Source organism: Homo sapiens, chromosome 5, assembly GCF_000001405.40.
Source record: "Homo sapiens chromosome 5, GRCh38.p14 Primary Assembly".
NCBI lineage: Eukaryota > Metazoa > Chordata > Mammalia > Primates > Hominidae > Homo > Homo sapiens.
In genome coordinates this window covers 151,332,979-151,359,722 of record NC_000005.10, presented here as the reverse complement: position 1 = coordinate 151,359,722, position 26,744 = coordinate 151,332,979, and the positions used below count along the sequence as shown (strand labels likewise).

Sequence of the window (26,744 nt, the reverse complement as noted above, 5' to 3'; positions counted from 1 at the left end):
TGTCTAAAAAAGGCAAATTTATAGAGGCAAAGAGCACATCAGTTGCTCCCTAGGGCTGGTAGGGTGGCATGACTGGGGATAGCAAATGGGCAGGAGGAGACTATTAGGTGTGATTGAAATGTTCAAAACTGGCTCGTGGTGGTGATTGCACAATTATAAATTTACTCAAGTCATTTAATTGCACACTTGCAGTGGGTGAATTTTATGGCATGCAAATTATAATAATAAGGCTATTTAAATAATGGAATGTCCCCTCTTAGCCTCTTATTTGCTAGCTGAAAATCTTTTAGGAGAATTAGACTAGAAGAGAAAGAGAGAAGAAAAAATATGCCTCCTCCAGAAATTGCTCTGAAAAGTTTCTAACTATAAGCTTATGTTTTTCTTGCAATTCGATGTTGTATCAGGAGAGATTCATTAGAGATATAGGTTGAGTGGGGGTAGCCAGGAGATTTCTAAAACATTTGTGGATGTTGTTTGAAAGTTAGCTGACTCTGGAAGGCATGGATGTATTAGGAGCCAAAGAAATGATGGTTCAGACAGTTTGCTATTTCTCTGTGTAGAAAGATCATTGGGCCAATATGTCTGTTTTATAGCTTTAGGATTCAGTAATTCACCATACATGATCTCTTACATGATGTCATTCGAATCATTGAGGCATTTATAAAAATGTAGATTCCTAAATCAACACTCCGGGGTGGGACTTGAGAATCAACACTTTTTTTTTTTTTTTTTTTTTTTTTTTGAGACGGAGTCTCGCTCTGTCGCCCAGGCCGGACTGCGGACTGCAGTGGCGCAATCTCGGCTCACTGCAAGCTCCGCTTCCCGGGTTCACGCCATTCTCCTGCCTCAGCCTCCCGAGTAGCTGGGACTACAGGCACCCGCCACCGCGCCCGGCTAATTTTTTTGTATTTTTAGTAGAGACGGGGTTTCACCTTGTTAGCCAGGATGGTCTCGATCTCCTGACCTCATGATCCACCCGCCTCGGCCTCCCAAAGTGCCGGGATTACAGGCGTGAGCCACCGCGCCCGGCCGAGAATCAACACTTTAACCAGCTTCCCAGGCGGTTGTCGTGCCCACTGAAGTTTGAGAACCACTTCTCCAGTCAGTAATGTTGAGGAATTGGGGATAGAAAAATTTATCAGGAAACATGTACAACAAGCACCAGATGAGAAGTGTTAAATTAAACTAAACCTGTAATCCTAGCATTTGGAAGGCTGAGGCAGGAGGAGGCCAGGAGTTCAAGACCAGCCTGAGTAACATAGCAAGATCCCATCTCTACAAAAATTAGCCGGCCACAGTAGTGCATGCCTGTAGTTTCAGATACTTGGGATGCTGAAGCAGGAGGATCTCTTGAGCCCAGGAGTTCAAGGCTACAGTGAGTGAGGATCACCAATGCACTACAACCTGGGTGACAGAATAGGACCCTGTCTCAACAACAAAAAAAAAACAGAAAAGAAAAAAAGTTAAACTAAATCTGGCCTGAGGCTGTCTCCCTACTTGGGTCTTTGCATAAGACACTGCAACCTAACTTAGTATGCAAACTAACTGAAAACCAAATATAAGGGTATACTTTTTTGTAACAAATAGCTGAGTCTCAGCCAATCACAGCTGCCTAGTCAGTCAATCACAGGCAGCCAACTGAGCAGACCGTGGTCAAATAGGGCAAATGCTGAGCCTTAACCAATCAAGTTCTCTCTGTCCTTCACTTCCATTTTATGTCCATAAAAGTTCTCTGACCACAATGCAGCCTGGAGCTCTCTGAACCTATTCTGGTCTTGGGGTTGCCTAATTCATGAATCATTCTTTGCTCAATTAAACACTGTTAAATCTTATCTGTCTATAGGTTTTCTTTTAACAGATGCCACAAGATTTAGGTTTTAATCGTGGAGAATACCAGCAGATTTCTGGAAGTAAAAGAGCAAGAAGGCACAGAGTTCATGCTCAGAAAATATATGTTGACTTAAGTCAGAGGTTGGCAAGCTTTTTCTATACAGAGCCAGATGGTAAATATTTTAACCTTCGTGGTCTGTATGGTTTCTGTCACAACTACTCAACTCTGCCAATGTAGCATGAAGGCAGATTTAAACAATACGTAAATGAATGGGCATCCTGAGTTCCAATAAAACCTTTTTTCTAAAAACAGGTGTCAGGATAGATTTGGCCAATAGGCCATAGTTTACTAACCCCTGCTTTAGGTTATTTCAAAAGAAGAGATAAATCAGATAAGATTAGTATTAATACTTGGCCCAAAAGGCCTATCATTCAGCTTGTAAGGAAGTAAAAGTCCACAAAATCTCCTACTCTCCAAAAACAGCAATGGAAGCTCCATCTCTCCCTTGACAGAAGAACCACCCAAACTGGCTAGTGCTCCTTTTAGTGCCAAGAACAATGATGGGTTTTGTCATGCTGATACTGGCAGCCAACCACCTTTCTCTCACTACCTACCACCTATTATCACACAACCACCGCTAAAGCCCTTAGCTATGTGGGCCTGTGGCTTAAGTGAGGTTCCGGCTGTGATCCAGGGAAAGGCCTTTTGTGGCTTTGTGAATGGGGGTCAGAAATCTAGGAAATGAAGATTTTCCAGTTGTCTACCACTACACATGGGCATCACTAAACCGATGAACTTCGAGTTCCTTATCTGTAACATGGGGACTATAATTCCTACCCTTCTTCCTCTTAGATTTGCTAACATCAAGGAGATTCTGGATGGGTCAAGTGCTTGGGGACCTGCATAGTCCTCTACCTATGGGAGCACCCTGCTTGTGTGAATATTATCATCAGCTACCTGGCTTCATTCCCTTGACCCTATCTAGCTTCCTATTTTTTTCTTCCTTATTGATCCACAATAAGGAATTGCACAGGAAATCATGAGCAGGTTGAAGGGAAATGTTAGGTCTGAAGTTAAATTTGAGAGAGAAAATTGCCCCCAGTTGTGTAGCATGTTCTTCACTGAATTTATGGCAGAGAACTATGGCCTAGAAGAGGGGCTGACCACAACTGAATGCCCAGAGGTAAACTTTAATGTGGAGGGATTTTTTGAACTGCTTCCTTGTCTTTGAGTAAGTGGATGAGAGGGGGGTACTTGAAACTGGACTTCAATGTTGAATTTCCTCTTGCAAAAATTCAGGAGGAGAGCCAGTGCCTGAAGGGCATTTCAGGGAGAAGATTCAGCCACCAGAGACCTACTATATGCCCAACACACGTAGTTCCTAAGGATGAAAGGGAACACAAAGATGACAGCCCCTCTCCTCCTAGAGTTTGCTGGCTCCAGCTCGGAGGAGGTGTGAGTAACAGATATACGCCTCATCTCTCTCTCGTAGCACTTTTCTTCTAGCACTTTATCAGGTCTTCGTGTATTCTTTTTTTTTTTTTTTTTTTTTGTGAGACAGAGCCTTGCTCTGTTGCCTAGGCTGGAGTGCAGTGGCGTGATCTCAGCTCACTGCAACCCTACCTCCCAGGTTCAAGCGATTCTCCTGCCTCAGCCTCCCAGTTAGCTGGGATTACAGGTGTGAGCCACCATGCCCAGCCAGTTTTTGTATTTTTAGTGGAGATGGGGTTTCTCCATGTTGACCAGACTGGGCTTGAACACCTGACCTCAGGTGATCCACCCACCTCAGCCTCCCAAAGTTCTGGGATCCTCCTGTATTCTTAACATATCCTTTGTAAAATTTTAATTTTGTTACAAAATAGCACATTAATATTAATTTTTAAATATGCCTTTAAAATCAAAAACATTGGAATTAAAATACAAAATTCCCACATCTGCTTCACCCCTAAGTGTCCACTTATATTCTCACACTGCAGGAGGAACTACTGTGAATCCTTCCAGATCTTTCTCAAGCATATACAACCATGTGTATACAAGATGTGTATGCATGTGTATTTTCTATGTTTGGGTTCTTGCAGTTGGAGATGTATGCGGTTTTATGCTTTTCTCAAAAATAAATTGATTCCATTTGTTTTTTGAAAAATGGGTTCATGTTGTACTTAGTGTGATGAACATTTCATATTTCACAGTAATATATCCTAAATCTCCCTCCACGTCAGTATATACAGATATGCTTGAGTCTTTTTAACAGCCATGGCAATATTCCACTCAATAGAATTAGGATAATTTATGAACAATTATCCTCCTGTGGTACATGCAGGTTGTCTCCATTTTTTGCTATTACAGATAATGCTGCAGTAAACACCCTGGGGTATACGTGTGTGAGCATTTCTAGAAGAGATTATTAGAAATTAAATTGCAGAGTTAAAAGGAATGCACTTTTTCAAATTTTTATAGATATTACCAAATTCACTTCCAGTAGTATGTCGTATTGTGGCACTGTAACCGAATAGCCTGGCATCAACCCTCCATTTAAAGGTATTTTTTTTTCTTTCCCCTTTCCCCTGCAGTTTCAAGCAGCCTCAGAATGCTTTCTTTCCTGCATTCTTTTTCTTTTCCCATTCTATGCTCCCGCGCCTTGTGCCATTCCAAACCCTCTCTTGAAAAACTCCTGTGTTCCCTCCACAAATTGAAGAGTAAAAAATTTTGGAAAGAATTCCACCCACTCTGCCCCTTGCTTGCATGGATAATAAAATCTCACTCTCTTTTTATTACACCTCACTCATGTTTCTTTCTATAAGCAGCGAGCAGCCAGACTTTTTGCTGGTTACAGTTCATTGTTGTCATTTTAATGTGTTTTTCCTCGGTCAGTAGGGAGGACTTACCATGGTCTCCCTTGCATTATAGCTCTTAATGTTCAAGTTGTATTTCCCCGCTATGGTGAACATCTGCTCTGCTGCCCAGCATCTAGCCTCCTTTTTTCTGGTAATTATTCTCTGATTTTCCTTTGGAAAACCACTTCTGCCACCCCCCGTATATATAGTTCTGGTGAGGCTGACTCTGCCTCCAATCCAGGGGCTGACCACTAGGGTCACAATGATTGGTTCAGGTATGTGCATGTGCAGGGGTTCCAATCTAGACAACAGGAGTTAGTGCCAAGACTATTCCTGGAGCTAGCAGGCAAAATGGAGAGTGGGCATGAAACTGTCTGTCTTTTCTGTCCCCCTACCAAAGCAGAATCTAATCCAAATGACCCCTAACCCCGCTGAGGGACAGGGCCCCAGGGACAGGGCAGGGTCAAATTGTGTGCTTCAGTTTCCCCATCTATAAAATGAGGAGGTTGGACTCTGTGCCTCTAAAACCATTTTAGCTCATTGTGCATGCATGAAACACAGAGAGTACAAAGACTTGGCTGAAGTGCAGATATTATCTTGGTAGAAGAAAATCTCCTCAAGGGTGGCTGTTCTGCACTGATCTGATAAAATGACAAAGTCAATATTTATCCAAATGAATTAAAAACGCATGCCAATCCAAAATATCCACAAAGATATTTATAGTAGCTTAATTTGTTTGTTTCTTTGTTTATTTGAGACAGAATCTTGTTCTGTTGCCCAGGCTGGAGTGCAGTGGTGCGATCTTGGCTCACTGCACCCTCCACCTCCCAGGTTCACGTGATTCTCCTGCCTCAGCCTCCAGAGTAACTGGGATTACAGGTGTGCACCACCACGCCTGGCTAATTTTTGTATATTGAGTAGAGACGGGGTTTCACCATGTTGGCCAGGCTGGTCTTGAACTCCTGACCTCAAGTGATCCACCCTCCTCAGCCTTCCAAAGTGCTGGGATTATAGGCCTGAGCCACTGCACCCGGCAGATAGTAGCTTTATTTATAATTGCAAAAACTTGGGAGCAACCAAGATGTCTTTCAGTAGGTGAATGGATAAATAAACTGTGGTAAATTCAAAGAATGGAATATTATTCAGCATTAAAAGGAAATGAGCTACCAAGACATAAAAAAACATGGAGAAAACTTAAATGCATATTACTAAGTGAAAGAAGACAATCTGTAAGGCTACGGTCTGTATGTTTCTAGCTGTATGACATTCTGGAAAAGGCAAAACTATGGAGACAGTGAAAATATCAGTAGTTGCCAGGAGTTAGAAAAGAGGGAGAGATGAACAGGTAGAGCACAGATGATTTTTAGGTTAGGGCAGTGAAATGACTCCATGATACTCATGGTAGATACACGCCATTAGACACCTGTCCAAACCCACAGAATGCACCCCACCAAGAATGAACCCCAAAGTAAATTCTGGGTGATAATGGTGTGTCAGTGTAGGTTCACTGATGTAACAAATGTCTCACTCCGTTGCTGGATGTCAATAGTAGGGGATGCTGTGAATGCGTGGGGCTGGGGGTATATGGGAACTCTCTGCTCCTTTGGCTCAATTTTGCTGTGAACCTAAGACTGCTCTAAAAGAATAGTCTATCACTTATTTTTAAAGACAACATTAGGTTTTGGTAGACAATCTCTAAACTGGGAACCATATTTTAGATGCTATGCCTGGTTCTGTCCTAAACATAGTATCTTTGTGTGTGCTCACTTCTCCTCTCTGGGCCTCAGTTTCACAATTTGTAGAATGAAGGGACTGTTATGCCTCTAACTAAGTACTATGAGTCTATGATATCTATATTATATATATACACACATATGCACACACACATACATATATATGTTTTCATTCATGGTTTTCAACACATATGTTTTCATCCATGGTTCCTGGCTCATAATTCCCATAGCCCTTGTAAAAGCAAAGAGAATCTCTTTTTCTCTAGCTTTCTCCTCCCCTCCTTTCACCTGCCCAAGGCAGGACTCTAATTTGATTGTGGGTCATAAGACCCTTATTCCAGAGGGGGTCTAGCCCCATACCCTGAAGTAAGGAATGCTGCATAGAGAGGCCAAGAAGAATCTGGACAGCCCTTGCTGGGTTTAAATCATACCCTTTGAAGATGTGATTGAGTTAGGGATCTTGAGATGGGAGGTTTATCCTGGATTATCCTTATGTTTAATCTCAAGTATCTTTATAGGAGGAAAACAAAGGGAGATTTGACTACAGACAAGAGATAAGAAGCCCATGGGATAGAAGCAGAGTCAGAGAGAGAAGACACTATGGGAATATCAGGGAAGGAGCCACGAGCCAAGGGATGTACAGAATGCTCTAGAAGCTAGGAAGAAGAACAACAACAACAAAGGAAACAGATTTTCCTTCATAGCCTCTGGAGGAAGCATAGCCCTGCTGGCATGTTTACTTTGGCTCATTGAAACTGATTTAGGGCTTCTGGCCTTCAGAACTGTAAGAACAAATTTGTGTGTTGTTTTATGGCACTAAGTTTATGGCAATTTGTTAGAGCAGCCATAGGAAACCAACACAGGCAAAAGAAAGGACCTCTGAGGCTTACTCCACATCTGTCAAATGGGATCAATAACACATTCATTCATTGAATATTTTTTGAGAGCCTACCATGAGCCAGGCCTAAGAACTGGGAAGGTGACCAAGTACTTCCCACTTTCATGGAGCTTAAATTCTAGTGGGAGGACATAAACAACAATGGGGATACACACACATAATCAAGATAATTACAAATTGTGAGAAGCAACATGAAAAAAAGCAGGGGTATGACTGAGAATAACTAGTCAAGCAGAGGGTCCTCCTTTAGATAGAGTTGTCAAGGGAGGTTGTTGGAGCAGAAAAATCTTGACCTAAGACTAGCATAACAAAAAGCAGAGGATAAAAAGTGCAGGCACAGAGAGCAGCAAATGCAGTATCCAAGGAGGGAAAGGACAAAATTTAATGCAGGAAAAAAGGTCCATGTGACTGGAGCATAGTGTTCTAGGGAGAGACATGAACAAGGTGAGTTGGGAGAGAGGCAGCAGCTGGATCATGCAGGACCTTGTGGGTTGTGGTGAGGAATACTGATATGTTCTCAGGTCAATTTGGAGCAGGAGGAGGTTTCAGGAAGGGGAGTTGCATCATCATTTGCTATTGTGAGGAAATAGATTTTAAACAGGGAAGTGGAGAGGCCAGGAAACTAGTTAGGAAGCTAGTTTTCCAAGTGAGGGATGATGCTGGCTTGGATGAGAATGGAGGTGGTGAGGATGAAGGATTGCTCTGAATACTGTATAACATAAAATGCTTAATAAATGGTAGCTCTCGTTACAGTATGATGATGATGATGATAACTGTCATTATCATTATTAGCTTTTGCTGAAAAAAGAAACGGATAAATGAAACTCAGTTGGGTCATAAGAGTTGACACCTGCAACAAGTGAGAGACCCCATTCCCGTTCACCAGAAGAAGCCACTTGCTGATGCCACTGACCGCTCCTCATCCGCAATTCACTCTCCCCAGCAAGTTCAGAAACCTAAAAATGTGTCAGAGCCTATACCTACACACATGAATATGTGATTAGGCCACTTAGGGGTTCTCAGGAATAGCTTTTTTTTTTTTTTGAGACAGAGTTTCACTCTTTTTGCCCAGGCTGGAGCGCAGTGGTGCGATCTCGTCTCACTGCAACAGAGCTTGGGAATCAAAAGACCTGGGCTGGGTTAAAGTCCCTATCTCACCACTGTATCCCTGTTCACTCACTGTGTTCCTTCTCCTATCTGGGCCTCAGTTTCCCAATCGGTGAGACAGTATGAGTCAACGAAATGACCTTGTAAGTTCCCTCCAACAATAAAATGATATCATAAAAATGGTTCTCCTCTCTGGGCACTGACTGTGACTCAGGCACTGTACTTGTTTATTTTCTCATGTAATCCTCACGCCTGCCTAAAGACACACTCATTAGTATTTTACAGTTGAGAAACACCAAAGCACAGAGTGGTGGCCATCAGAAAGGGAGCAGTATTGTTAGCATTAAAAACATTGTCCTTTAATCCCAGCACTTTGGGAGGCCAAGGCGGGCTCAGGAATTCAAGACCAGCCTGGGCAACATGGCAAAACCCCATCACTACAAAAAATACAAAAATTAGGCATGGTGTCATGCACCTGTAGTCCTGGCTACTTGGGAGGCTGAGGTGGGAGGATCACTTGAGCTTGGGAGGTGGAGGTTGCAGTGAGCCGCGATCACACCATTGCACTCCAGCCTGGGCAATGGAGTGAGACTCTGTTTCAAAAAAGCCACAAAAAACCCCATTATCCTTTATCCTGATATTATGTTCTTCCAGCTTTAGGGGGTTGAAATATTCTCTTTTTTTTAATGGTGATATTTTAAAGGTTTTTAATGGAGAGAAATGAGAATTTGCCCATCTATATCAGTCCCTAACATTTATTTAGAAATTTGATTGATGCATGAAGTCCCAGTCTTGAATGGCATAAAGTATGCACAGGAAAGGGTTTTCAACTATTTCAGAGTTCCTACTACGCCCTAGTCATAGCAGAGGAACACAGAGATAACTCAACTGCAGCTTCAGAGGCACATGCCAAGAGGCCTGGAATCCAATCAAAGCTCTGTCTCTAGTACTAACTGGGTCACCTTAGGCAAGGGAGGTAACCCCTCTGAGCCTCAGTTTCCTCATCTGTAAAATGGGGGTAATCATAGTGCCTACCTCATGTAACACACCTCATCTAGAGCTTGGCACATAGAATAGACTCAATACATGTGAGTCGCTATTATCATTATTATTTAGATGGGGGTAGAAGGAGTCACATTCATCAGCCACAGACTATGAGGAGGTACCCGGGGCCGGGGGAGGGTGGTGGTGGTGGTGGTGGTGAGGATAGGGTGATGAATTTTCATCCAGGTAGGGGTTTCATTTTGTCTCTGAAGTCTCTGACTTCTAGCCCAAAGGAGTACCAGTGATCATTTCTACCAGATTATACGACCTCAGGCAAATATTTCCCAGCTCTCTGCCTTGGTTCTCTAATCTATTAAAAAAGAAGCAATTATTCCCACTCCATAGAACAGTGGACTCAAACTTCAGCTAGTATCAGAATCACCTGATGAACTTGGCAAAAATAACATGGCACAGATTCTATCCTACTTCAACAAGTCTGAGTCTCTGTTCTTTATTATCTCTTCAGATGCTTTGATACACACCACGTTTTAAAAGTGCCATAAGCCATGAAAGGAACAAGGCTCTGTGTTTACTCTAAAGGATCATAGGAGATTATTATCATTATTTACATCCCATTTGCTCCACTCTTTTTGGAGATGTCTAGTGGGCAGGCTGTCTTTTCACCAGTTGCCTGCCCCACCCAAGAAAAGCTGGCCTGCATCTCAGCGTTACCAAACACCCCATCCAAGCCCTTGGGGTTCTCATGCCTTTGGAAGTCATCTACAATCTAGTATCCATCTTGCAAAGGGGACACTGGAGTTTGAAGGGGAATAATATCTTTCCAAGGGTTGCCACAGCTTCATAGTTAGAGCCATAGCGGAACCCAGGGCTTCGGATGCCTGGGCCACTCGTGTTGGAAGGGCTTATTTTGGACATCCCCACCCTAGGAGAAGACCTCCTGCCTGCTAACATGTGGTGCAATGAGTTGGGGTGTGGAGCCCCACCCTACAAGCTTTTTTTTCACTGACGATGCCTGGGAAGAGCTCTGGCCAAACACTGATATTCCAGCCACCCCTTTCCAAAAGGCCTGAAGATAATTCAGAGTTCTTCTCAAAACCTGGAGAGGAAGGCAAGAACTAGCTCATATCTAAACATAGCAAGCTCCTCAACAATCTTATTACTGACCTTGCTCGAGCAGGAACACAGAGCTCCACCTGCGACATCAAATCTGAGATTACAAATTTAAATTGTGGAATCTCAGGCTGTAAACGAGCAGGTCACAGGATGCAGCCTGCTACTTCACAGACCAGTAATACTGCCATGTAATGGTGCCAGACAAGGGAATAACACTTCTCAAATCACAGCAAGTGTTTCAGTTGATTCAGGACAAGAAGCTGGCAGGGTGGGGCCAGCATTAAAACAAAGGAGACAGTGCTGTGGTCAAAGCTGCAGGCTTCAGAAAAAACAAACAAACAAAACAAAAAACAAACAACAACAACCAAAAAAAACCTGGCTAGCGGGGAGTTCGGATTTACCGAGTTCCAGCTGTGACCTCCAGCAAGTTATTCTTTTCCTCTCTGAGCCTCAATTTCCACATCTGTAAAAACAAACTAACAAAGCTAACCCACAGAAGTAGCCAGGCTTTGTGGAGCTTGAAGCTTATCCCATGGAGAAGGGGAAAGTAGTGGTAAGGAGGACCTCTTTAAGAAAAAAGCAATACAAAATTGTCCATTCAAAATTGCATACAGGACCTTGGAAAGAGCCCCATGTAAGGGAGGGGCCTGACAAATCTGTCTTGGATGCTACCAGTTAGCAGTGACATTAGCTAAGCAAAGCTTGTGGCATGTAATAAGCCCTTAAGAAATGTTAGTTTTGGGGATGAGATGATGGAGGAGAGAGTGGTATGGCTTGAGTCAAAAGCTGTAATTTTGAGGGAGGAGGAAATTTTGGCCTGTTCATCTGCACTGAAGCAGAGATAATGACAGAGAGTGGGATACTAGAGAAACGCCCAAGACCATCTTTAGCTGCAGAGTTCTATCCTGGATTTCATGTGTGACCTTAGACAAATCTCACCACCTCCTGGCGCCAGTATCTTGCCCAGCAAACTGTGGCTGGGAGTCATACAATCTCAGCCTCTTCCCCGTTTCCAGAAGAACACTCTTTACTCACTCCATGGAGCCTCACAAAAGCTAAGAATTAATTAGAGATGACTGAGTGACTGTCCCTTTTTTGTTCCAATTTAAGAATGGGGTGCTGCAAGAAGGGATGTCTTACAGCAGACTGTGGAGCCAGTGAGACATGGAAACCTCTACCCTGAGATGAATAAAAGGAGAGGGATTTGTAGGTATTTTCTTGGAGACAGAAATAGGTTACTGGTTGAAAACCTTGACAAATTGGGCTAGGTTCCAACTCTGTCACTTTCTAGCTATCTGACCTCGGGCAGATTCCTTTACTTCAAGAAACCTCAGTTTTCTCCTTACTTAATTGATAGGGTTAAATGAGAAAATGTAGATAAAACACTTAGAGGATTGCTTATCCCTTAGTACAGGGCTTAATAGATATTTGTTATTAAAATTATCAGTATAATAGTTATCATTATGATTATTATTAAGTAATACCAATACGAATGGGTGATGCCTTTTCCAAATCCCTCCTTCCTCTCCTCCTCTTCCCAGGAGTCCTCGTCCACTGGCTTCTCCAGGCAGGAAGAGGTGCCCTCCAGGGAGGTGGGCGGGGCCTCGTTCCAGCTTGGCCAGAGCCAGCCCGGGCACACACCACTGTGCTGGGGTGTACATCTACACTAGACACCTTCCTGCTTCCCTCCTTCCAGAGCAGACCTCTTTGTCACCCCGAGCTCCTTGTTTCTTAAGCAGTCATGTCTGTGACAAAAAGTACTGAGGGTCCCCAGGGAGCCGTTGCCATCAAATTGGACCTTATGTCGCCTCCTGAAAGTGCCAAGAAGTTGGAGAACAAGGACTCTACATTCTTGGATGAAAGTCCTTCAGAGTCAGCAGGCTTGAAGAAGACCAAGGGCATAACGTGAGTGCTGTTTTCTGCCATCCCTATTTCTGCTTTCTAGCCTGAAGCTTGCATTGGCAAAAACCCTGAGGTGGGTGTGTCTGACCCTCAACCCACTGTGCAGATGAGAAACCAAGGTTGCAAAAGGTGCAGTCATGGGCTGAGTCAAGCTGAGGCAGAAGTAAAGGCTGTCAGAAAAGCCCTTAGGGACATAGTGATCCAGATCCCAAAAGGCACAGGTGGGGAAACTGAGGCTCAATTACCCTGGACCACATACTGAGTCATTGGCAGGATAAGGGCTAGAATTCAGTGCTGGCCCTAAAGCCACATTTTTGTTCCTGGCCAGCGATGTTAAGATTGGGGATAGAGGTAGAATCCCTAACTACTTGGAGGAGAAGGTGAGTCCTGAGCTTAAAACCACAGTGGCCTCACTGACCACTAAGTATTTCCTCCTCCCTGCCTCCTTCCTGCAGTAAGCCTGGCCTCTACTTCAACTGAGAAGCATAGATGACTCTAAAAAACACACTTTGTGGAAAGTTCTAGTTTTTTCCACTTTCCAGGGAGTGGGGAGTGGGGGTTATTCACAAGGCTTCCAAAACATAAAAAAAGAGGGAAGCCAAGCTACAGGGCTGCAGCTCCCTTCCCCACATCTGACCCCACCACCCAACCAGACTTGCTAGTTTACTTAGGAACAAAAGGTGTGGGGTGTGGTAGTGAAGAGGTTCTGCTGCTTTAAGAAGAAAGTTTTTGCACCACTAGATAGTAGAAAGAGCACTGGACAGAGAATCAGAAGGCCTGAGTTCAAGTGGTTTCTCTGCTCCTTCTCTAAGTTCCAGTTTTCTGACATGCAAAACAGGTGGCAGTGTGAACTAAAGGAGGGTGCATGGAAACAAAATCGGAGGATGTGTTTCTCGGGGGTGCACTGCAGGGAGGGACTGTAAGGGGCAGGCAAAGCCCCTCCCCACAGCCATCCAGCAGGACAATTTAGGGATGGACACAGTGACTGGCCCTGCTGCCTGTGCTGTCGCCCCAGGGCTAGTCCTGGAAGTTGCTAAGTATTAGTGACCCTGAGAGTGTGCTGTCTGTAAGTTGGGGCCAGCCACTGCTAAGTAGAGGCATTTTCTCAGTCAGAGGCCTTGAGGGAACCACCTGTCTCTTGTGTCCTGAACTGATACAAGGTTTGATGGCAATTTCAGCAACTTAAGGATCAAAGGAATAAAGCAAGTGAGAGCTAAAGGGAGACACGTGGCTTGGGGAGAAGCCAAATAACGGGCTGAGTAAGCGTGGCAACGATGGGGTTGGCTCACCCAGACTCGAATTCCCACTTAGCTGCTTACCAGCTAGAGCAAATGCTGGAACTTCTTTGTGTCCAGTTTCTCCTCTGTCAATGATAGTTCTCTCCTCCTGGGAGATTTGAGCATAAATACCCCAGACACAGTGTCTGTAAGTGTTGGCTGCTGTGAATAAGATGACAGTCCAAGGTGACCAAAAAGAAAGGAGTTAGAGTTGGAGCCCATGTCTCCCAACTCCCAGTTTGGTGCTTTGCATGACTTACCGCACTATGTTTTCAAGTTGGTTGAGTGGCCCAAAGTTAAATTCTGATTTCCTAAGTACTTTAGTTAGAAATTTCCAAAGTAACCCGCTGACCCTTTCCTAGTTGCAAAACAAGCCCATTGCTAGCCTGGCGAGTAGGGTGTAGTGCTCGGTCAGCGATGTGGACACCCACAGGGAGAAAGGCATGCAGGGACTCTCCACCCCCTTTCTCCCTCGATTGTTCTCTTTAACCCTTGATGAATCTATGTACAGAGACTCAGGAAGCTAGAGGGTTTACAGCTTCAATATGAAGCTTCCTGAGCCTCTGCCCATAGATTCTTTTAAAATAGCATCTTTTAAAAATAGCATCACTCCTGACATTTACAGAGGGTCAACAAAGTTGAACACGTTGCCCAAGATGACACAGCTAGTTAAGTCGTGGCCTTGAGGTTTAATCCCTGGTTTGTCAAATCCCAGAGACCGGGCTCCTTTCAGAGTACCTCTGTTGTTTTACAAAGAATAAGTCTCCTAACCAGAAGGTTCTCATGGGGAATTTCCAAGGTTTCTAAAGTTGCACGTGTAAACCCCATGCTCGCCTTGACTTAACCTGGTACAGGTACAAAAACGTGTAGAAATAGGTTGTTTTGTAATTCCGCTAATAGAGTGCCTCCCTGGAACATTTTTTCTCCTGATGGTTTAGACTTTGTCCTCCGGGCAAACCTTCGCATTTGTCTTAAAGGAAGGGTCTGAGTTTTTGTTTGGGGGAGGGGAGGTGTGCACTCTCCAGCCTTGATGCCCTGGGCTGAGAAAAGAAATCCCTCTGGAGCCCAATCCCTGAATGGTTATGCCCCGCCAGACCTCATCTGGGGACCCAGTCATCCGACCTGTTTATTCAGAAGTCACAATGATTTTTTGTTTCTGCCTGCCCTTTCCCCTTTTCTCTGTGTTCAAGCCTGTCTCTACTACTAGTTTTATGACATTGAGCTAGTTTCTGCCCCTCTCTGAGCCTTCATTTCCTCAGTTATGATATGGGGTTGTTTCTTTACTTACGCTGTCTGAGTTTATCTCTGGGAGGCAGCTCAGCAGAAGTAGGGGTGAAGAACAGGGACTCTGAAGCAGCACTGTGTTAAATCTTGGCTCCCCAATATATCCTGGATAAGTCATTAACAAATCTCTGTGCCTCAGTTTCTTCACCTGCAAGATGATAATCGTATCTTTGTCAGAGCCTTGACTAGAAGATTAAATGAGATAATACTGATTTAAAGCACCTAGCACAGTGTCTCATATAGTAAGTGTTGCAGCATATATTGAGTGTTAGCTGCTAAAACCAGGACAGTTCTGGGCAAACTGGGATGGTTGGTAACCCTACAGGAGACCCAGATGTGCCAGGCAAGGACTCATGGACTGAGAGATGGCTAGGAGCCCGCCTATCAGGTGCTGGCATGCTGCAAGGGAATCACCGCTGGATCTTCTCACCTCCACACACCCATACTTCACATCTCCTTCCTCTCCTTTAGAGTGTTCCAGGCCTTGATTCACCTGGTGAAAGGCAACATGGGCACAGGGATCCTGGGACTACCCCTCGCTGTGAAGAACGCGGGCATCCTGGTAAGAGAGGCGCCACATGTGGGGGCTTTATGGTCAGTTGCAGAAGGGAAGTAAGAGGAGAGGCTCTAGCGGTTTAGCAACCTGTGGTGAGCAGTCTTTCTGGGACACAGCTTGGTGCGGGGTTAGGGTCTAGACATCTAGCCTGGGTTTGAGTTCCGGCTCTGCCACAGACTTTAGTACCTTTGGTAAGTCATTTGCCTGCTCTATGGGCCTTAGTTTCCTCCCCTGTAGAATGCAAGGATTGGACTATGCCCAGTTTTCCAAGTATGCTCTATAGAACACCAGGTCCCCTTGGGGATGTTTCAGGGGCCACAAAGGGCACACATGGTCAGGATTCTCTGTCCCCCTACTCCCATCAGTATACCCCATTGTAATTGCTTTATGTGCTTTATTGGAATATTACTTGAGGTCATATTTGAAAGAATAGCTGTTGCTGCTACAAAAGGGCTTTAAACCCAGTTTGCTAGAGAGTTCTTTGAGTTCTGCATGATATCAGCACTACCAAGCCCATCTTGCAGTATTCTTCATAAATGCATTCTCTTCTCTCCTCCCTCGCCCCTTGCCTCCCCTTCCTCCAGATGGGCCCACTCAGTCTGCTGGTGATGGGCTTCATTGCCTGCCACTGTATGCACATCCTGGTCAAGTGTGCCCAGCGCTTCTGTAAGAGGTGAGGAAAACAGCCTCCTTGTGTCAATTCCTTTGGTGCATGGTTCTCAGGGATAGCCCAGAAACATCCTATGCATAATAGAAATTTACTTCTTAGTTTTCTCCAATAAGGCCAAGAAAGAGTGAAGAGCATTCAGGGGCAGGGAGCTCAGGTGAGGCTCTTCTGCATGGCTCCTTAGGAGATCTCAGTCAGGCTATTGTGCTTATCTGGTTGGCTCCTCTGGAAATTGGGCATAAACTATGCAGAGAATGGTCACGAGAATCCAATGGGATCATGGATATGAAAACTACCGTCCCCGTGCAAGGTGTGCATTAGACTCTTGCTGTGTAGTCTCCGCCTCATTTAACAGGTAAGGAAAACAAGCCACTGAGGAATTACTGCTGAGTGTCAAAGCCCGAGGTCTCTGCCCCTGTGTTCTTTCTGCTCTTTAGCTGTGTCCTGCCTTGTTCTGTGTCTCCTGACTTTTGACCATGTGAGTTTAGGCTAAACTATCTCTTGGAAACCGTTTATGCACTCTCTCCTGCAGGCTTAACAAGCCCTTTATGGACTATGGGGACACGGTGATGCATGGACTAGAAGCCAACCCCAACGCCTGGCTCCAGAATCACGCTCACTGGGGAAGGTAACCTGTTCTTGCTTTGCCTGCAGTGGGGTAGGACACAGGAGGAGAAAATGCTGCTATCAGGGTGACTTCTTCCCTGGAAAGGTGGTTTGTTTGGCACTTCTATGTTAGATGTTGTACATGGAAGGGGTTCATTGGCAACATCCCTGATCAACCCCCACTTCTTGTGTATCTCTAGTGACAGGATACTCATTCCTTTGCTACGCAGCTTTAATGTTTTTTACTCTTTTATTAAACCACATTTATCCAGTTACTCCTATGGCCCTGGACATGTCATGGGGACTGAGAAGAACAAGACTTTGCCCTCACAGAACCCATAGTCCAGTGAGAAAGGCAGACATTAAACAGCCTAGAATAGAGTTATTTAATAGCCGCTTGGATATGTACGATGAAGGAAAGAAGGGCTGGTTGCCACCAGGCAGGTTAGGAGATGTGTGTTGGCTTGGGGGAGAGGAGGGCTTTCTAGGATGGAACGGGTGAGATGAGTTCTGCAGGAAGGAGTCCTGAAGAATGAGGAATCACCTCAAAGAAGGTGGACAGGGGCCTGGAGGGTGGGGCTGGAAGGAAGAGAGGGTGTGAAGGTCCCTGAAGCAAGAAGGTATAGGTGACAGATTCAAGGTACAACAAGACCAGGTAGCTTGAGGGCAGAGAGTCAGGGAGGTGGAACTGAAGAAGGAGCCAGGCACCCAATCAAGTGGTACATTTTAGACCCTCTGAAACGAAGACTCTATTTGTTCTTTTCTTAAAACCAACCAGGAAGCCATTGGAGGGTTTTAATCAGGAAAGTCATCATATTTGTATTGTTTAAAGATCTGTCTGGCTTCTCTAAGGAGAATAGATTGTAAGGGAGCAAGAGCAGATTTAGTCAGATCCATGAGGGGGCTATTAACAGTACCCAGCCAGGTCACAATGGTAGCTGGGACCAAGCTGGTGGCAGTGGGATGAAGAAAAGTTGACTTGATCATGAACTGGATCCTGGGATTGGGAGACAAGGAAGAGTCGAGATTGACTCAGATTTATGATCACTTCTATTTTGGACAAGTTGAGTTTGGGGTGCCTGAGAAACATTTAAGTGGAGATGTCTAGTGGGGATATATGGGTTTAAGCCTATCTTCATGCACCAATCCAGAACTGAAGTCATCAGCCATGAAGCCAGGGACAGAGAGGTCTCTTAGGGAGAGGTTATATGGTGAGAAGAAAAGAGAGGAAAAGACCAAGACTTTAAGAACCCTTTGTTGAGCTGAGTGAAGTCTTGCTCCCTGAAAAATCCCACCTTTTAGCTCTCAGGGGTGACAGAGAACAGGTTAACACCCTTTGTCCTCTGGTACTTGGGACTAAATCTACTCCTTTCTCCTTGTTTCAGACCTGTCCCCACCTGTCTGTCTCCTCTTGTTGAGCACCATCTAGACTGTCAAATTCTCTTTTGAACTGTGCTTCCCTAAACTGCTGCAGTACTCACGGTGTGCCCCTGCCCATGGCAGGTAGTCTGTATGGTATCATGGGCCTGGAACCACCCTTCGCTCAAAGCCCATACTCACAAGAGTAATCCACAAATTCAGTCTGTGAACAGACAAGGAAGACTACTGGATAATGACCAGAATTTTCCCAATTGTGTGACCCAGGAGGAGACTTGCCTGTCACAGACTGTCAAATCCTTCTACTTGTTGTTGGGCATATAAAGAAGATTTCCCTGCTCCATTTAGGGATCTTCTTTCATTAATTACTGCCTCTCCTATAACTGGAATTCCTTTAGTATGGGTTCTTCCTCTCAGCATTTAATGTGTTCCTGTATCTCCAGCAAACCACCATGGCACATGTATACCTAGGTAACAAAAGTGCACATTCTGCATATGTACCCCAGAACTTAAGATACAATAATAATAATAATAAAGCAAGTAAATAAAACTTCCTGGACCTTACCATTGTAGCCAACATCCTATCTACATTCAATATATATTATTCAACAAATGTCTACTGAATACCTACAATGTGTCATAAAGTGCTTTAGACAATGGGTCTACTGCAACGAGCAAATGGGTGCCATCAACACTGGACCACCCTCTGATTTTATTGCCTTACATCCCATCCACACCTCTTTCACAGGCCACCTGGGTTTTCTGTCCTTATAATTCTACTGAAGTTCTTTCAAGCAATGTCCTAAAAGACCTTCTTGTTGTATCTTCCTTGCCCTAGAGAACCTTTCAGCAGTAATGTGTATAATTGACCATTCTCTTTTTTCAACATTCTCTCCTCACTTGGCTACTATTAAACCTCTTTCCCCCTAGTTTCCCTCCTACCTTTCTAGCCACTCCTTTGCATTTGTTGTAAGCTTTTTTGTTTCTATTAAATGTTGATGTTCTCCAGGGTTGAACACTGTCTTCTACTCTCCTCATTCTGCACACTTTCTAACACTGCTCTGCCTTTGCAAGGCTTTATCCACTACTACAACTCAACAGTTCCAGACCCTAATATCCAGTTGTGTCCCGAACGTCTCCTATAGGAACCTCAAGTTCAAAGATTCAGATTCTGAATGTGTCATTTCTTCCCCTTCTCCTAAAACTGTCCTCCTCCTCCTCCTCGTCTTCTTCTTCCTCCTCTTCCTCTTCTCTTAGTTCTTCTTCCACCTCCTCCTCTTCTTCCCCCTCCTCCTCCTCCCCTTCCTCCTCCTCTCCCTCCTCCTCCTCTCCTCCTCCTCCACCTCTTCCTCCTCCTCCTCCTTCCTCTTCTTCCTCCTCCTTCTCCTCCTCTTCTTCCTCCTCCTTCTCCTCCTCTTCTTCCTCCTCCTTCTCCTCTTTTTCCTCTCCTCCTTTTTCTTCTTTTTCTCTCTCTCTTTGTCCCTCCCTCTTCCTCCCCACAACTCTCTTTCTTCCCTTTCCCAAGGGGCTGTCTCTTAGGTATTGGGTTTTCTAACAAGGCTTTCTGTCTGCCCATAATTTAGATAAAATGCCCTTTTCACCATGGCCCTTAATGCTATATCTAAGAATTTTTGTCCACCTAACCCATTAGTCTATAAACCACAAGAGGAAGGGACTGTATGTTATTTGTCTGTGTATTCTCAGTGCCCAACATAGTTCTGGCACATGGCAGAAAAAAATTCAAATGTGAATGGTAGCTAATAAAAACATTGTGCCTGCTGTCCCACATTAATTGGTATCAATGATGAGGAATGCCACCAAGCCCGGTATCGGGAGAGGCTCATAACCAGGAAGAATTTTACCACTTGCTGAGCTGAGAGTGTGAGGGTGGTTAAAAATCATCTTTTAAAAAGAACTATTGTTGGCCGGGCATGGTGGCTTATGCCTGTAATCCCAGCACTTTGGGAGGCCAAGGCAGGCGGATCACCTGAGGTCGGGAGATCGAGATCAGCCTGACCAACATGGAGAAACCTTGTCTCTACCAAAAATACAAAATTAGCCAGGCGTGGTGGCACATGCCTGTAATCCCAGCTACTAGGGAGGCTGAGGCCAATCATTTGAACCTGGGAGGCAGAGGTTGTGGTGAGCCGAGATCCCACCATTGCACTCCAGCCTGGGCAACAAGAGCAAAACTCCTTCTAAAAAAAAAAAAAAAGAACGATTGTTACCTTACTTCTTTGCCCCATTGTTGATTGTGGTGGAAGGACCAAGTGTGCTGGTACAGGGCAACCAATCCCTGGGAACAGAGGGCAGAATGGCAAGAAATGGAACTGACAAGTTGACTTATTTTATAACAAGTTTTCTTTTTCCCTCTCTTCTCCCTTCTAGGCATATCGTGAGCTTCTTCCTTATTATCACCCAACTTGGCTTCTGCTGTGTGTACATTGTGTTTTTGGCTGATAATTTAAAACAGGTAGAGGCTTCTAGAGAAAACGGGAGGGGAAAAGATGGACAAGGACACGCCACTGCTAGTTGTTTGACAAACTGCTTCTTCTCTCTGGTCCTCATCAATGTAACAAAGGAAGTTAAACTAGATGTTGTCAAACTTGCCTCCCCTAGTTCACATATCTGAAGATCTCTGTGTGGTTACTTTTGCCACAATACCCTTTATCCGGTATCTTAGACCTGTTCTCAAAGTTGATCTCTACTGAACTGGAATGGAAAGACCCTTGGATTTTGTTAATCCTCCTGCCTTGAAGCTTAATTATACTTAACGCTTCTAAAATTGATATGGGTCTTCTTTTGATGATTCCTAGTCTTCTTTAGGTCATCTTTCTTTCTTTTTTTTTTTCTTTTTGAGACAGGATATTGCTCTGTCACCCAGGCTGGAGCGCAGTGGTGAGATCACAGCTCACTGCAGCCTCAAACTCCCAGGCTCAAGTGATTCTCCCACCTCAGCCTCCCAAGTAGATGGGACCACAAGTGTGTGCTACCATGTCTGGCTAATTTTTTTTTATTATTTGTAGAGCCGAGGCCTTGCAGTGTTGTCCAGGCTGGCCTCAAACTCCAGGGCTCAAGTGAGCCTCCCACTGTCTCCCAAAGTACTGGGATTATAGCATGAGCCACCACATCCAGCCTTGGGCCATCTACTTAATCTATGGCTTAATAGTTATTGTCCCTAGGAATTCTTTCTGATCTAACCTAGAAATTCTCTTACAGCAATTTGAGCAAAATAATATGGGTAATAGCAGAGGCCATCCTTAATCAGTAAGTTTAAAAAGAAAACTATTCTTTAGGGCTCTTTTTCTGCTTATAGCAGTAATACCAGAAATTCAAAAATGTAAACTAGCTAGAAGAAAAATGTAGTAAGCTTTCAGAGTTAGCTTCTATTATGTCAGGTACAGTGCTGAGCATTTTACATGCTTTCCATCATTGAATTATCTCCATGACCTTATTAGAGCAGGTACTGTGGTTATTCCCATTTTGCAGACGAGAAAACTGAGATTATAAACTCTGTAATGTATGTAAGGTCACAGAGCCAGAGTTAAAAACCCAGGCCTTCTGACACCAGTGCTCAAGTTCTTAAACCTATGCTGTATTTCTGCAAAGAAAACAAAATAAAATAAAATAATTCTTAATCCAACTATTCATGGTTATAATTTAATGTAACCTTAACTGGTCAGTATTTTGCAATATCCTTATATTTAGTCATGTAATTTTTAATAGTTTCATAATATTCCATCACACAGATTGATCATAACCTAATCAATCTTCTATTGCTGGACATTTCCCTTATTTCCCTTTGTTTCTCTACTATCATCTGTTGGCACAAAAGTCTTTGTGCACTTCTTTATTTCCTTAATGTTTCTTAAGGTAAAATTACTGAGTCAAAGAGTTTGATTGTTTTGAAGGCTCTTAAAACATTGCCAGATTGCTCTTTAGAAAGCAATCTGACATGTACAGACCTATACTTATCATCTGCATTTATTGTTACCTGCATTTATTTATCATCTGCATTTATTATCAAGGCAAACACTGTATCAAGGAGTTTACAGCCAAGTAGAGTGTGTTCTAAAACCTAATAAGTTAAATATCAATATGATATTTTGGTGTCAGGCCAGGATGCCACTAACAACAACAACGTGAGGTCAGGGTGCAAACTACATTGCAGAGATCACTGGAGCAGGGAAAGCCTCCTCCGGGGGGTGGTGCATCTGAGCTGGGTATTGACAGGTTAGAGAAAAAAAGTGGTGGCAGCCAAGGTGGGAGAAGGAATCAGTGAAAACCGGGAGGCAGGAACATATGGGATTGCCCAGGAGAAGCAATACAATTGGTTCAAGGAGGAAGAGTAGGTCATGGGAGAGGAAGAAACCTTGAAGGTTTGATAGGGCCCATTTATGGAGGGCCTTGAGTACGTAACTAATGTTCCAGCTATTTTTCCAATTGTAGTGAGGAATCAGAAAAAAATCAATACTTAAATGATTCATTTATGTATCCACAGTGTATTGTTAAGTGCAAGGGACATTTCAAAAGAAAAGAGTGAATGCTATGATTGAAGTCTTGTAAAATAAAAAGAATGTGTATAATATATGTAATTTGTGATATTGTATAGAAAATATATAGATGAGTATCCTCCAAGATGTTAGCATCTTGATACTGAGATTATCAATGCATTTGTGTTTTCCTCCTGCTGAACTCTAGTTCCTAATCGTTCTGCAGTGATTTGTATTGCTTGTCCAGTAAGACTGTATCAGTTAGGTCATGCTGACTTTAAATGGAGGGTGGTAGCATCCACCTACCCCTGACTTTACAAGGGGGTGTTCATAATGTGTGGGGGGGTGGGGGACGGTTTCTTGTTTATCACAATGATTGGGCATGCTCATGGCTTTCAGTGGGTGGGGTCCAGGGCTACTAAATGTTCTGCAATGAATGGTCCAATCCACACAAGAAAGAGTTTTCTTACTTAAAATGCCAGTATTGTGTCAATTAGGAATCAGTAAGCGTATATGTTAATTAGGAAACAGTAAGTGATAGACTTTTTTTATTATACGCAAAAAAAAAAAAAAAAAAAAAGATTGAGGGAATTTAAGCAGAAAATAAGTTCCATGGAAGGATATTACCTTCCACTAAATTAAAAAGCAGATCTGAGGGAAGAACAGGAGCCAGGGTAGCGAGGAGGATATAGATGGAAGAACTAGTGAGCAGCCTCCACTATCGGAATTAATCTTTACCCTTTTCTAGTCCGTCCTTAGGTCCCTATGCTTTAGGTTTACATTCAGATTCCTGGAAGAGGGTCTGAATGCCCCAGCTTGAGTCAAAGGCTAATCCCCTAGCTATGCCACATGACTGTGATTTACAGTCCTCAAAGGCTGCATTCAATGACAAGAAAGAACTCACCAAAATCAAATTGGTATCAGGAGAAATGGATACTAGTTGCTAAAAGCTAACAAATAGCCACTGCGAATCCAGTTATTTATTTTGTGTTACACTTATTTTTTAACTATTTTTACAACTTTTTTTTTTTTTTGTGGATACAGGGCCTTACTCTGTTGCCCAGGCTGGAGTGTGGTGGCATGATCTTGGCTCAAGCGATTCTTGTGCCTCAGCCTCCTGAGTAGCTGGAATTACAGGCATGCACCACCACACCTGGCTAATTTTTGTATTTTAGTAGAGATGGGGTTTCACGATGTTGGCCAGGCTGGTCTCGAACTTCTGACCTCAAATGATCCACCTGCCTCGGCCTCCCAAAGTGCTGGGATTACAGGCGTGAGCCACTGCAACCAGCATGTACAGCCTCTTCTGAGGTAGTATGGTGTAGAGGGTTTAGAATAAGTTCTACATTCACCCTAACTCACCGTGAGATTTGGCACTGTGGGACACTCCCATTCACTGTGAGGGAATTTGATTAGGGGCAAGGCACTGAGTCAACCATGAGGTTAGAAGACTCATCATCTCCCCCTTTTGCCTCTCCCATTCCTTCCTCAGGTAGTGGAAGCTGTTAATAGCACAACCAACAACTGCTATTCCAATGAGACGGTGATTCTGACCCCCACCATGGACTCGCGACTCTACATGCTCTCCTTCCTGCCCTTCCTGGTGCTGCTGGTCCTCATCCGGAACCTCAGGATCTTGACCATCTTCTCCATGCTGGCCAACATCAGCATGCTGGTCAGCTTGGTCATCATCATACAGTACATTACCCAGGTGAGTGCACACCATGCACCTGCCCACTCCACTGGGCAGGGTTTTTTTATCAAGGATAGACTGAGCTTTAGATACCTGGAGCCAACCCTGTAGGTGGGTAAGAGTGTTATGAGAGACATGCATCTCACTGTAGCATTTCTTCTACAAGGATGTCTCCGTGCAGTCCCATTCTTCTGATTGTCTCCTTGTTCATGTTCTTTCTCCAAATATCTATTTTTATGTCAAATTCTGGCTTTTTTAAAAAAATGTGCTTGCAAGGAAAACATCTTGGTTGGTGAACTGTAGACCATTCCTATAATGGTTGGCTGGCAGCAAAAGGCAGGCGAAAACAGATTCTTGTACTACAGCTAAAAGTTATTGCGTTACCCATAGGGTACAATTTCAGGTACCCAATAGGAAGGCAAGAAAAAAAAAATCTAATATTTAGTCACAGAGATATACATAGAGAGTCTCAAAAACCATAAGCTTTCAATAAGTGTCTTGTTACTAATTTAAAAAAAAACTATAAGCAAATCTATTATAATGTTAGTTATAATGTCTTTGATGTTGAATTATGGACATTGATTTTCTGTCAGTTTCCTAATTTGCTATCCTTTCTAATTTTTCTTTTATTTATTTACTTACTTATTAATTTATTTGAGACAGACTCTCGATCTTTCACCCAGGCTGGAGTGCAGCGGTACAATCTCAGCTCACTGCAGCCTCTGCCTCCCGGGTTCAAGCGATTCTCCTGCCTCAGCCTCACGAGTAGCTGGGACTACAGGCACCAGCCACCACACCCGGCTAATTTTTGTATTTTTAGTAGAGACGGAGTTTCACGATGTTGGCCAGGCTGGTCTCGAACTCCTGACCTCAAGTGATCCCCCCGCCTTGGCCCCCCCAAAGTGCTGAGATTACAGGCATGAGCCACCACGCCCAGCCTAATTCTTCTTTTATAATAGACAACACTACATAGAAAGTTAAGTCTCAGAAGCCCCTTGGCATATTTAATAAATTCCAGATGTTCTTCCCTTTAAGAAGCCACAAGAGAAAAAAAGTTACATTGTCCGTGAAATTTAGTAAAAATAATAGTCAAACATTTTAGAATAACTGCAGATCAGCCTCACATACCTTAGAAGACACTGATGAATTCTATAAAATTGAATTTCCTAAAGAAATAGCTACCTTTAATACATTTTTGGACAATTCCAAAGGTTGCCCAGTTAGAAAAATGGCTCTGTCATCATTTTCACATTCTGGGTCACAAGGTATATAGAATATTTATTCTACACAGTCTTCTCCCCTTCAATTTACAGCTCATTAAAGAAAAAAATGGATCTTTCATATTTAACTCATACTTTGGGCTCCTTAGATTATTACTATGACTGCAGTCACAGGAATTTCCAACACCCATGACCACTGTCCATTCAAAGGTGTTCGTGGGCTCGTTGGGTCAGTGCTAATCTGTGGTGTGTAAGGTCTTCTTTTGGAGGATTGTTTTGTTTTGTTTTTGAGATGGAGTTTCGCTCTTTCACCCAGGCTGGAGTGCAGTGGTGCGATCTTGGGTTCACACCATTCTCCTGCCTCAGCCTCCAGAGTAGCTGGGACTACAGGCGCCCACCACCACGCCCGGCTAATTTTTGTATTTTTAGTAGAGACAGGGTTTCACCATGTTGGCCAGGCTGGTCTCGAACTCCTGACCTCGTGATCTGCCTGCCTTGGCCTCCCAAAGTGCTGGGATTACAGGTTAAGCCACTGCACCCGGCCCTTTTGGAGGTTTTTCATAAACCAAACTCCCTCCATGAAATACTATTCCTTCAGTACTTTGACAATACCGTCCTCTGGCTCTTTGGCATTGTGCAGTGTTGAAATCAACTTTGATCGTGGCCTACATCCCTTTGAAGTTTTCTAAACTTCTTGATATTCAATTTTAAAAAATTCAGGTCTCATTTCAGAGTACCCTTCTCTTAAAGGAGCTCAAATGTGCTTTAAGAGTGACTGTCTCATAGCATTTCTTTCTTCTTTAGGAAATCCCAGACCCCAGCCGGTTGCCACTGGTAGCAAGCTGGAAGACCTACCCTCTCTTCTTCGGAACAGCCATTTTTTCTTTTGAAAGCATTGGTGTGGTAAGGTTTGAATTGAGGTGGCCTTATCCCTAGTGCTTGTGAGTGACCTTCTAGAAAGGAACTGTGAGCTCTGGGTTTCTGTGTCCCGCTGGCCATTGTTTTGGGCCTGCTAGAAAATGCCCATGGGAGAAAGTAACCTCTGGCCTTACTTGGGACAGTTGTCACCAGCAAGAGAAAAGTTGATTACAACAGAGAGGCAGTCAGGAGACAGTTTTATTTTTGTCCCCACATGCCTATTAAACATC

General features: G+C 43.8%; 2 protein-coding genes and 1 long non-coding RNA gene across 8 annotated transcripts in view, besides 1 other annotated feature; 2 read left to right on the top strand and 1 right to left on the bottom strand.

Annotated features, from left to right (window-relative positions):
• The window catches only part of LOC105378234 (uncharacterized), an 84,540-nt gene extending 77,216 nt beyond the window's left edge, over positions 1–7,324 (top strand). For 3 of the 4 annotated variants that reach the window (XR_007059006.1, XR_944423.4, XR_007059004.1), the window contains one exon: positions 6,917–7,324. This is a non-coding gene — a long non-coding RNA (uncharacterized LOC105378234). Of the gene's footprint in view, positions 1–3,130; positions 3,274–6,916 lie in introns of those variants that run through there. The other variant, XR_944426.4, reaches the window with a different exon arrangement.
• The window catches only part of SLC36A1 (solute carrier family 36 member 1), a 211,490-nt gene extending 196,363 nt beyond the window's left edge, over positions 1–15,127 (bottom strand). The window contains exon 1 of the mRNA XM_011537591.2: positions 14,989–15,127. The gene's annotated coding sequence lies outside the window, so the exon portion shown is untranslated. The remainder of the gene's footprint in view (positions 1–14,988) is intronic.
• Positions 11,738–12,651: an enhancer, noted in NCBI's record as "H3K4me1 hESC enhancer chr5:150726633-150727546 (GRCh37/hg19 assembly coordinates)". NCBI's record gives its function as "activates a minimal SCP1, AML or CMV promoter by ChIP-STARR-seq in naive H9 embryonic stem cells {active_cell/tissue: H9 hESC(naive)}" and the evidence as "EXISTENCE:reporter gene assay evidence [ECO:0000049][PMID:30033119]".
• The window catches only part of SLC36A2 (solute carrier family 36 member 2), a 32,588-nt gene continuing 18,007 nt past the window's right edge, over positions 12,164–26,744 (top strand). For all 3 annotated transcript variants that reach the window (NM_181776.3, XM_005268377.5, XM_017009083.3), the window contains exons 1-7: positions 12,164–12,426; positions 15,456–15,546; positions 16,125–16,213; positions 16,740–16,835; positions 20,579–20,663; positions 24,176–24,394; positions 26,401–26,499. In NM_181776.3, the coding sequence (NP_861441.2) occupies positions 12,263–12,426; positions 15,456–15,546; positions 16,125–16,213; positions 16,740–16,835; positions 20,579–20,663; positions 24,176–24,394; positions 26,401–26,499 (843 nt within the window). In that variant the 5' untranslated portion in view covers positions 12,164–12,262. The remainder of the gene's footprint in view (positions 12,427–15,455; positions 15,547–16,124; positions 16,214–16,739; positions 16,836–20,578; positions 20,664–24,175; positions 24,395–26,400; positions 26,500–26,744) is intronic.